Consider the following 11,811-nt stretch of genomic DNA (forward strand, 5'->3'; position numbering starts at 1 on the left):
ATACATTAAATTTTCTATCCTGCATGCTCTTCTACAATATGCATTTATCCCAATACCATTAGGAGGTAGCATCTAATTCCTCTCTCTTCCCTTTGAATTCAGGATGGCCTTGTGATGCCTCTAGGAATCAATAGCCTGAAACACCATAACATTTGAGACTAGGTCAGAAAAGGTTGTACAGCTGCTACCCAATTCTGGGATGCTTGCTCTGGGACAGCCAGGGGCCATAGGAAAAAAGAGAGGCTGTCTGAGGCAATCCAGAGGATACAACAGCCAAGCTTGTGGGCGACAGCAGCAGCAACTGTCAGTTATGAGAGTGAACAGGTGTCCAGCCCAGGCTAGCCTTCTTAAGATTATAAATCCCGGGTAACATTTGACTACAAATGCAAGAGTGACCCCAAGTGAGAACAGCCCTTCAGAGCCCTTCCCAAATTTTCCATACCTCAAGTTGTGAGCAAATTAAATTTTTTTTTAAGCCACCATGTTTTGGGGTAAAATTCACTCAGCTGTAGTAACAGGAGCATAGTGGTTTCCTACATTTATTTTTCATTGAGCAGCCTTATTTAACATAATTCTAAATTTTCCACTAAAACACACTATTTTCAAGGTAGCCTGGATTAGACATTTGCTCTCCCAGTTTTTGTAAGGAGGTTTATCTTCTTTAAAATCAAGTTATTTATTAAAGCAAATAAGATACTACTTAAGATATTACCAAAAAAATCATTTCTGAATAAAGACTAGTAAGAAATAGACTTCTTTTTTTTTTTATTTCCCTTCTTTTGGTTATCCCAATGATGAATAGTATTGTTATGCTAGAAAATGTCAGCAATCTGGTAAACATCATGTTGGACAAAGGCCAGGTTGTCTTAAAACATCATGCTTTTTTTCTGCCATGTGGCAGGAGTCCAAATTCTAAGATTTATTCTTATTGACTTTCAACAATTTTTTTTTATAATTCTGTATTCAACTTCATAATTGGGACATTGGTGGTGTACTTCAGTTTTTGGGCAAATGACCAAAATAATATTTAGGAGCTCCAGCCCCACCAAAAACTTTTCTGCTCAAGGCAAGCATGTTCCCCTTTTTCCATCTTAAAAATGGCAATCTGACTGCGTTATCAGTTAGACCAGGCTTCATACATAGATGATTCTTCTCTTTAATTCTATTCTCTTTCCAGTCAAACTCAAGGAATTTCTAAGCTTCCTGGTTTTACAGTTGTCCTTAAAGGGAAGGAGCAAGGATGCACTGAGAAATCACTTTTGTTTCTCAATCAGGCATGTTCCCTTCTCTTTGCAGCTTGCTAGAGTCAAGAATATTGTAGAATATTCATCCAAGCATTAATTCAAGAACCAAGCCATGCATATGTTCGTGTATTCATTCATCAATCGTTCAGTGATGTGTAAAGAGTCTACAAAGTATAAGGCAGTTTGTTGTGTAGAGGTTGTACGAAGATAAATTATTGCAATACTTCTTTTCTAGTGAAAAAAAATAAAATAGATATATAAAAAGATAAAAGATATTGTATAATCACAGATATGTATATATAATTGATTATTATAGAATAATCAAAGCAAATGTAGATTACAGTAAAAAAGGCAGAAGTAGGCAAGCTACAGAAGTTAAAGCAGTCCACAGACTAAGTCAAGAGTAACTGAGTCTTTACTGTTACAGTATATATGCTAAGGGCTTTCTCTTTTTATTAAGACTGAATTGCAGACTCATTTTTTTTTTAATTTTTGAGGAACTATGTAATCTTTTTCCACTCTTTTGAAGGAGAAAAGTTAAGATTAGAGGGTCTCATGGTTTTCCTCTTTTACCCAGGGAATTGATATTTTAGCTAACCAATTCCCACCATATCCCCTGGAGCTAGGGATGTTCTTCCAAAGGAAAATGAATCACAGCTGCAATCTCACAAAATGCCTTGATCCCACACAGCTGCCTCTCTCTCCCTCCTGGGGACCAAGAAGGAAACAAGGGCTATGTTAGTTGTCATTCAGGTCAGGGAGACAGACGCTCCCTTTGACCTTCTTGACTCCCTCTCTTCCTCCTCTCCATCTTTAACCCCTGGATTCAGGAGACTTGTTTAACCAGGTCACATTGAGCATTACTCTTGCTTCATCTGAAGATCACCCATACTCCACTCCTACCCAATGTCAATTTAGGCAATCCAGTGGTCATACTCTGTGCACAGCCTCCTTCCCATATCATGTTTTGGAAACACCCTTTTGGTGCATTCGAAACTCTGAATGAGGAGCACCTCACACCCCTGCTGCTGCAGAGCCAGACATAAATGATAAAGGCAACTGAGCCTCTAGCATTCTGTCTGTTCCTCTACAAAATAGTCCTAATTTATTTTTCTGGGTTGATTTCATGGGAGAAGTCTAATGGTTCATTTACCTCTTGTATAAGGTCTGCTTCTGGAAAACCAGTTTCTCCAGCCAAGCGAGAAGCTGTAGTACAATATGTCCCAAGTGGTAACTTCTGACAAAATTTTTCACCAGTTCAAGAAAAATGATTATGAAGAAGAAGCAACTACATAATTTAAAAGGTTGTACTTTTTCTGATATTTTTAAAAATTAAAACATTATTTGCATTATAAGGTACATTATTAGAAACCAGTAGTTATTTGCAATGCTTCTATATGGCAAAATTAAATGTGTTTCATCTTCTGGCACCATTTCTAGAGGGCTAAGTGTGTGGGGGTATGAATCACTTATGATTATAAAATAGCCAAATACTTCATTGTTCTCAAATCAAACAAACTCATTTTGTTCAAAGGAATATTGGTTTGGAGAACATTCAATTGCCTAGTAAATGCACAATTTTTTTTGTTCTTGTCTATTTACATTTGGAGATGATGTGGTCCTCTTTAGAGAGGTGGAGAGAGATGGTACTATTTTGTGTCTAGCTTGACAACCCATATACTTATTAGAGACTCTTAATAAGTCTCTAATAAGACTCTAAATAAGTCTCTAATAAGTATATGGCTTATTTTCAATGAGTATAATATGATATAATATGAATTGAGAATAATAAGTATAAGTCATTGAGAGTCTCTAATAAGTATATGGCCTATACCTATTATTCTCATTAATACATAAAAATAAAAGGAAATATCAGAAACAGCCTCATGTTCTTAGCCAACTTTGCCTGAAATGGTAAGTGAAATGTAAGTTACTATAATAAACATTTGTGCATATATTTTTCTATTCTTACCCAGTGAAATAAGATATATTTCCATTTATCAAATGAGGAAACAAAGTTTTGAAAGTTTCAAGGTTACAGGTAGTAAACAGCAAAGCAGAATTTGAGATCAGAGGTGTTTAACTGCACAGCCCAAGTTCTTTCCACTATTAAATAGTTTTAAGAGGCATTTTAACTCTTCTGAAATTTGTTTATAAGAAATACATCAAGAATTATTATTTTAATTTTGGAGACTAGTCAAAAGACAATACTTGTTCTTATTTGACTTGTCAGGACTGATTTGCATTTCAGTAATGAGGTGTTAAGTCCATACCAAATTATACTACCTGGTGACACTTGATCCAAAGATGAATGGCTAAGCCAAAGAGTACCTAAGTAAGGGAAGCTGTCTTCTTCAGGATGCCAAGCATATAAAATAGAAAATCCCATCAAAATCAGAACGTTTTAAATTTTTTTGATTTTTAGAAGAATGAGTTACATTGTGGATTTATTATTATAAAGTAACTGAAAGACTTCTGAATTTGCTAACTCTACATTTATTTTTAACATTGCTTTTTGAAATAAATGCTATAATTAAGAGGGAACTGGTTTATTTCTTAACATGATAGATAAAAGAAGACAAGATATGGGTCTCATAAAATTGTGGTTCCAATTACAAGGTAAGTTGCAACAAGTTCAATGAAACAACTTGGCCAATATCTATGAGGAATTCATGTTTACTGTCTCAATCCCTCATCCTCTTAAAAAAAAAAAAAAGCACGTGTTAATACTACTGTGATAAATTAGAATTAGGGACTAAAACAGTCCATGCATTTTTCCAGAGGCATCAAATTATCCTGCAGAGTAATTACATAATTTTAATTTCATAGGTTTTTACTTCTTAGCTTTGAAAGAATTGTTTAAAATTTTGATGTTGTTTAACTTTGCCAAGAATATTTCTTAGTGGTAAAAAGTAGTCAAACATTTTAATTTAAAAAGTTTATTTGTATTAAACATTATTTCGATAATAAGATGACAAAGGACTTTTGTCCTTCAACATTGTAGCTTCTCTCTGCTCATTAAGTGTCTGCCAAGGATAATCCACCAAGGATAATCCTGAAGACAGTGTTAGTCTTTGATACAGATAAGCATTAACATTTGCCATCCCCAACTGCATTGCATTTATTTTCTTTATTATAATAATTCAAGCTTCATGCTTAGATCACTAGAGGACATAAAACAAATTAAAAAATCAACTATACTGCATTTACAATGAATGAGGTGGTGCATTTCTCCTGCTTTCTTTCTTTTTTTCTTCATCTGTTACTGCATATAATCATCATATAATTTTAACACTGCATGAAGCTGCTACTATGACCCAGGTACCTCACACGATTAATAGGATTTCTAAGACTGTGATTTTTCTGCAGATGGAGATGTCAAGGCTCTCAACAGCTTGCCAGCATCATAAAGTAAGGAAGAGTTAGATAATAGTTAAAAACATGAAATGAGTTCATTTGTTTTATTTAAAGTCAAGTGAATTTCATTTCCCTTTAAGAAATGTATTTTCTTAGAGATAGCTGATTAAAACTTTTATAATATATTTAAATATTCATCTGTAAATTTTAAAATATTGAAAATACCTTGCATGAGACCACTGCTCATTGGAACTTACTTAGTTCCCTTAGTTAAATATGGTTTTAAAAACAAATTATTTTTATAATTTTAGCTACTTCCTTAGTATATGAGTCAGTAAACCTAGCTATAATAAAGGAATGATGTACACTTTGAGCTCCTAGAAAAAAGATAACATGTAGAAAACTTTCTCATCTGAAAACAAAAAATAAACAAAACAATATCAATGGCAACAACAAAACTGTCATAAAGATCCCAAGTCAGTGAACTTGCTGCTTCCTAAGACTACATTTTGTTGTTGTTGTTGTTGTTTCACTTTGAACAATTGACTTATGCCTTTTTACATAACAGAGAATTGGAAAACTGGCCCAGTGCTTTCATCAGGGTCAAGGTTTATGAGCTATTTTTTCATGGAAGCAAAGGCAAACTATATTTACGAAAAAATAAAACTTCACTAAAGTGACTGGCCAACTCTTCTTTCCTTAAAAATATCAACCCTTCATTTTTGATAATACATGTAGCGAGAGTAATAATAAATTCTTTTAACTTTTTCTCAGAGGCAAAGTGAAATTTAATTCGCATTACATTTTTTGGGAACTTCGCCATTTTAGTAACTTCAGAAAAGATTATCCTGTGTATATCCATCAAATGGTGATTTCTTTGTTCAGATTTTTTTCAACCCTGTTATTTTCCTGCCCAAGGCAATAATGCAGGTCATCTCTAGATGCTTATAAAATTTCTGAAGAGTAATCCAATCTCCCCTGTGGCAAATACACAATTCAAAAAGTAATAGTCACCACCACTAGAACATAAGATCCACAAGAACTAGGGCCATATTTGTCTTCCTCATCCTTTCTCCCCATGCCTAGAGCAGAGCTCATCCATGATGGGTTCCCGATATAGCTTCTGAATGACTGAACAAATAGATCCATTGGAATTATCCTGCGGCCTTTTGAAAGTCTTCATATAACATTTGTATTTGGGTTTTAAATAGCTATACAATATATGTGTTGAAGAAGCTATTTCAAGTGTTTTTCAGTCGTTACTACTGAATATACTTTATATTTTTTCTGGGTTCCTATAGGCAGTTTATTCCAATTGTAGAAGTTGCATTTTTCTTCTGCAAACTACTGCTAGAAAGCATGTTCTGAGTAAATATAGGACTTCTGAAAGAAGTGCCTGATCATAGTATGGAATTTCTTCCAGAAGGAAGTACACATGGCGGAATCATGATATAAAGATTTTTTTTTCTTTTCATCTCCAGTAAGAAAATACACCCCTTCAAAAGGAGGAATGTGAATGAGCTGCCATGTAAACTGAGTTCATTCCCCTTTGGCCCATCCACTGAGCTTCAATCTTTCTGGAGATTTATCTTCTAAGTGTAATGCTCTTGGAATTTCCAGACCAAATTTTTCTGAAAAGATGATAAATCAAACTGTCTTTAGGGTGTTAGGCTAAAGATATATGTAACACAATTATATTGAATATTTACACCATACCTTAGTGATAAATATTTCCTTTGAAACTTTCTAAAGAATATAAGCAGCTGGATTACAAAATGTCAAAAGTAAAGACAAAACTAAGACTCAGAGATTAAGGGAGTATTTTGATACTTGAAAGATAAGATTTTGTCATAAAATTTGATGTGTTTTGCTTTTGATAACTGATTATTTTACAATTTAGTAATGTTGAAACTCTGTTGTCTGGGCTAAGTGAATAGTAGAGAGACTGACCTGATTTTCTTAATATCTAATATTTTATAAAAGCATATTATAGAATTAAGATTAAACCATTACTCTGAAATTTTAGAACATAAGACTTTTTTAATTCAAAATTTTATTTTGTAGAAGAAGGGATATAAAGCTCAGAAATATTTTTAAAAATGATTTGTCCAAGATTGCAAAGTAATGGAGGAAAAAAGGAAGAGGGACAGAGAGGGAGAGAGAGAGAGAAAGAGAGAACAACAACGCTACTTTTCTTTCTATCCTGTTCTGCTTCCTTTACTCCTCATTAGGTGGCACTGTCTCTCAAATTTAGAGAGATTAAAACTGAAAATGCTAAACTCTCAGAGTTGCCATTCCCAAGAATAAAACAAGTAAGGTAGGTAAAGAGAAACTGCATCCCACTCACCCAAATCAGAACACTGGACCACTCGAAGATGGCATTGACAGCGGAAGGGGCACACTGGGCCTAGGGAGGGCTCGAAGTCGCGGTCATCAGGAACTTCTGGGCCTATCCCAGAAGCCTCATCTTCTAGCATAAAGTCAAATAAGCCTCTCTGTTGAAACGGTCCAGCCCAGGAAACTTGTGCAAGCAGAAGGAGGATGATAGTGGCCTTCATGATTTATCTCATGTATTTTCACAACCAGGGAACCTAGGAAACAAATGAGAGATTTAAGAAGAGTAGCACTGCCTAATCTGTGTGTCGTTTCTTATATAATATGCCACAATACAGTGAGCACAGAGAAAAGATGCAAAATAATATTTCATTTGTTATCAGGAAGCAGAGCATTAAAAATGTATTGAAAGACAATCAGGTACATTATAGTATCATTTGCACAGCTATTTACTTAGGATGAGAAATCTGAGTATTATTTAAATCTGCTTGTTTGAATTTTGGGTCTAAACTAAGATGATATACTATATATCCAAATCATTTGCAAAATTGTCATGGTAATAAATCATGTTGGGCTTTTCAATGCTCACTTAACACATGGTCAGATAAAATTATCTCTATCCACATAGGAGATCTCCAATTTCTGCTTCAGAAATATCTCTGGAAGCCAGTCACATCTCTCCATCCTACCACAATTATTTTGATCCAGGCCCTTCTCATCTCTCCCTAAACTACTACAAGAGCTTCTAATTCATCTCTGCCTTGCATATTTCCTCTATTTCAGTCCATCTTCCATTTTGCTGCCTGAGTCATCGTCTAAAAATTCAATTTTGTCTTATTAATTTCTACTATAAACCATTTATTAACTTCCTATGGCTTATCAATACTGTCCACAGTCCCTGTGCTGTATGTCAGACCACTCATAAATTGGTATGAATTAATAGCTCTAGCCACATTCCTTTTCATTGTCACTCCATTCCCAGTCCTCACCTGAACCCTGACAATCAAAGCTACTTGCCATGTAGAATACCGACCTTGCAAGAGAGTTGTAAAGATTAAATGAGATAGTGGGCTTCTCTTCTGTGTCCCCTGGCTCATCCAGGCAAGATGCTGCTTTCTCCCTCTTCTCTGCTCCCAAAGCACGTTGCTCTTACCTCTTTTAAAGAACTTATCACATTATATTGCAATTTGTTTTGCGTGCTTGGTCTGTCCCTCACTAGACGATGTACTCCTTCAGGGCGTGTCTTATTATTCCTTGTTCTGTACCCGGGCCTTGCACAATATTTTGCACACAAATGACTCAATTGACCATCACTTTATTGACAAGACGATTTATTCCATTTGTTCCAAGCAATCAGTCTGATTTTTTAAAACACAAAATTAGCTTTTTTTCAGTATCGAATTTCTGATATAAAAAAAGCAGATTGAAAACCTCAACTTGGTATAAGCAAGATCGGCTTTAAAAAATAAATCAATTTCCTAGTTTCTCAAACATTATGTTTAATAAGCTAATAAACACATATGGAAAATTCTGATTTTTATGTGATGTATATATGATCTCATTTTGCTAACAGGGCATTTTGTAAAAAAACAAGTATTGTTTTGATAAATGTATTCCATATTTATCCATTCATTCCACAAGCACGAATCTATGTTGTTAAATCAACTGAAGTGCACTAAATAAATCTGAGTGACAAAATCGTAATAAATCTGAATAACAAAAGTACTTGATTATATAGCAGCAAAGTCATTTGGGAGATGAAATATTTTTTAAATTGCATTGAAACCATTCTGATATCTCCAAAACATAGTAGATATTTAGTCCCATCATAGCAGATATTTAGTCCCATCATCTCTACCTTGAATTGTACACTTAGACGAATCCATATTAAAGCTGTACGTTCGTAAGTAGAATCTTACAGCTGTTTTGAGTCATTATCCAATTGTAGCATATTAAAAAAAAGAAGAAAGAAAGAAGGAAGGAAGAAAGAAAGAAAGAAGGAAGAAAGAAAAGGAAAGAAAGAAAGAGAAAAAGAAAGAAAGGAAGAAAGTGAAAGAAAGAGAGAGAGAGAGAGAAAGAAAGAAGAGAAGAGAAAAGAAAGATCTTTGTATGATCTAACCTTAAGGTATCTTCTGGGAATTTTTGCCTAGATTCTCTAGAGAAGAAACAAATGTTTTTCAGTTTCTTACATGTTTGTTCTTAGTTTATATTTACTACTGATATGTGTCTAAGGCAGCACATGTTGAATACAGGCTTGTGGCTTTTCATTTAACAAAATATCATAAAGATTATTATTCACACTGCCACTTTAAGTTCAACATTAAGCTTCTTCTAGCAGCCCACTCTCATTCAGTTACTGAGTATCCCTTTAAGAGAAGACTTTTGTTTTGGCAGCCTGTTCCTTTGGATTGTATCTGAGGGAGTGGTTTTGTATCTGTTTCCCATTAAAAATGCAATGTTTATGGTTTACCACAAGCTTGCTAGCCTTGCATATTTAATGTCTTACAAGTTTAAAAGAAAAATGAAGCAAAGTCATTGCAGATTTAATAAATAGCAACGACAGTTAATGCAGATGTCACTTTGAAATCTTTTCTCCAGAGCAGAACATGCCTGGTTGTTTCACTAACAACCCACAAAAAGAAAATGTTGAGTATTAGCTGAGAGAAATAGTATTATAATTTATGTTTGTTTACTCCTGTTAAAATGGTACAAATTCTCCAAACAATATTCTTTTTGATTGAAGCTGAATATAGACAGGCAGCTTATAACTTCAATCACCGACCTTTATTTCATTTTCATTTGCTCGTGTGTGTGTGTGTGTGAGAGAGAGAGAATGTATGTGTGTGTGTTCATGTGTGTGTGACAGAGAGAGAGTGTATGTGTGTGTGTGCATTTAACCCTGACTGTACTGTGAAAAAATAATTGCATGTCCAGAAACTTTGTGCAAAATCTTCCATAAAATCATCTGTTTTAAATTAGTGTCATGGTACTTCAAGACCCAGCATCTTAAAACATTTAATGTGGGCTGTCAATACTGATAATTCCTTTCGTCATTTCCTTCTTTCCTTAATTAATCAGAAATATAAAGAGCAAAGAGCAGCTGTCCAAGTAGTAACCAAAGAGATTGTTATTGAGATGATATGCTGTTTAAATTATACTGAAACTGTTTTAAGTAGTCTAAAAATGCATGACAATGTCCAAGATGCTAATTACTAATGTAATATCACTACTCCACTGAAGCTAGTTGCCATAGTTTACAAATGTTTTACCAAAAATAATAATTTCTGGTTCCTAAAACTAGTTAAGCCCATTAAATGAAGTATGTCATCCAGATCAACATTTGCATTATGTTATCTATGCCTCTGGTGTCACTTTCAAAGTCAAAATTTAACCCTCAAGAGATAAGTGAAGCTATAAATGCAAAACAAAATTAAAATCCTACAGCACTAGATGATTAAAAACTTCAATTATAATATATGTAATTTTAAAATAAAGAATAAAGGCGGCATTTATCCACAAACAAGGGTTACTATAGGAGGCATTTGGCTCTTTTCTGGTTAGAAACAGCAACAGGAAAAAAAAAAGCCACAGGTATTTACATCACTGGGAGCCCACTTAATCAGTGGTCACTGTGTTACCCTGTTTTAAAATTAGAAAATTAACCCACATCCTCATTTTATAGTGAATGTATCTTAAAATTTCACTTGCAGTGAAGATACTGACTGGGACACTTTACATTTAAGAAATTATACAGCGTTTTTAGTATCTTAGGCATTTAATAACATAAATATTTTCAATGTTTATTTTCACTTCTCTGGTGATAATTTCTGTTCATTTCTGGGGTTGAAGAAATATACATTAGGTATTTTCAGCTAATCACCAGAGTTCAGTTCTTCTGGGCTTTTAAAAGTCCTTAAAGCAATCAAAAATTCAGGAGAAAAATACATTTTTTAAATATATAGGTCAATTACAGATATGCTACTTCAGAATACTTTTCGGTTACCATCTCTTGAAGAGCTAAACATTCATTAATACAAACACAAAAACATTAATATAGAGAGTCATGGTGTTAGGTTACAGTTTTTTAAGAAGCATCTTTGCAAAAACAGAAGAGAAAGAAATAAAACAATGCATTCAATCATTTTATCAAATATTTAACTTCTGTTTTCAAATAATACTTGTTTAAAATGTTGCATAAAAACTATAAAAGTTTAACAGTTTTTTTTTTCCTTTTCTTTTTCTCACCAAATAATCCCTTTTGCTCGCAACTTGACCGAAGTTTTATTAGTCTGTAGCAGAGTTCAGGACAATTATTGAAAACCATACCTTTTAATCCGGGAATTTGCCACAGGAGCCCTCAAAGCTGAGATGTAATTACACTAAATATTCAGCCCAAGTAAAAGAGTTTGCAGGTGTGGAAAGGAGGAGGGGGTAGGTGCTGCTCTGTGACTAGGTTGAAAACCTCCTGCTTCTACTCCATAGCACAGTTAAAAAATAAGGTTTCCCTCAATGAACACAATCCGGCTGACACCCACATTAGATCATATGGTAATGATATGTCTCTTGTATTGTAGCCAGAAACTTTATCGGCCTTTTTTTTCCTCCCATTTGCTTTATTCTTTTTGCATCTGCTTAAGATTCTAAACTGCTTATGCAGTATAGTGGAGCAACTTGATTTGAAATTTGTCTTATTGTAGATTCATTTCCCTAAGATATTGTAACTAAAGGGTTTGTTTCCCCACCCCCCATCTCATTTCATTCTCCACCCTTTCTAGCCTTGTTTACAAGTAGCATTTATTATACTTCCAAAATGACATTTTTTTCTTGCTTTTGGGATGTGTAAGTCCAGAAAAATGGAATGAAATTAATCTTGTAG

At 34.1% G+C, this 11,811-nt stretch overlaps 1 protein-coding gene across 6 annotated transcripts in view; it reads right to left on the reverse strand.

Annotated features, from left to right (window-relative positions):
* The window catches only part of DCN (decorin), a 42,334-nt gene extending 30,910 nt beyond the window's left edge, over positions 1–11,424 (reverse strand). For 4 of the 6 annotated variants that reach the window (NM_133507.3, NM_133505.3, NM_133504.3 and 1 more), the window contains exon 1: positions 6,949–7,253. In NM_133507.3, the coding sequence (NP_598014.1) occupies positions 6,949–7,159 (211 nt within the window). In that variant the 5' untranslated portion in view covers positions 7,160–7,253. Of the gene's footprint in view, positions 1–6,948; positions 7,254–7,968; positions 8,087–11,261 lie in introns of those variants that run through there. The other 2 variants (NM_001920.5, NM_133503.4) reach the window with 2 other exon arrangements.

This window comes from Homo sapiens, chromosome 12, assembly GCF_000001405.40.
Source record: "Homo sapiens chromosome 12, GRCh38.p14 Primary Assembly".
NCBI lineage: Eukaryota > Metazoa > Chordata > Mammalia > Primates > Hominidae > Homo > Homo sapiens.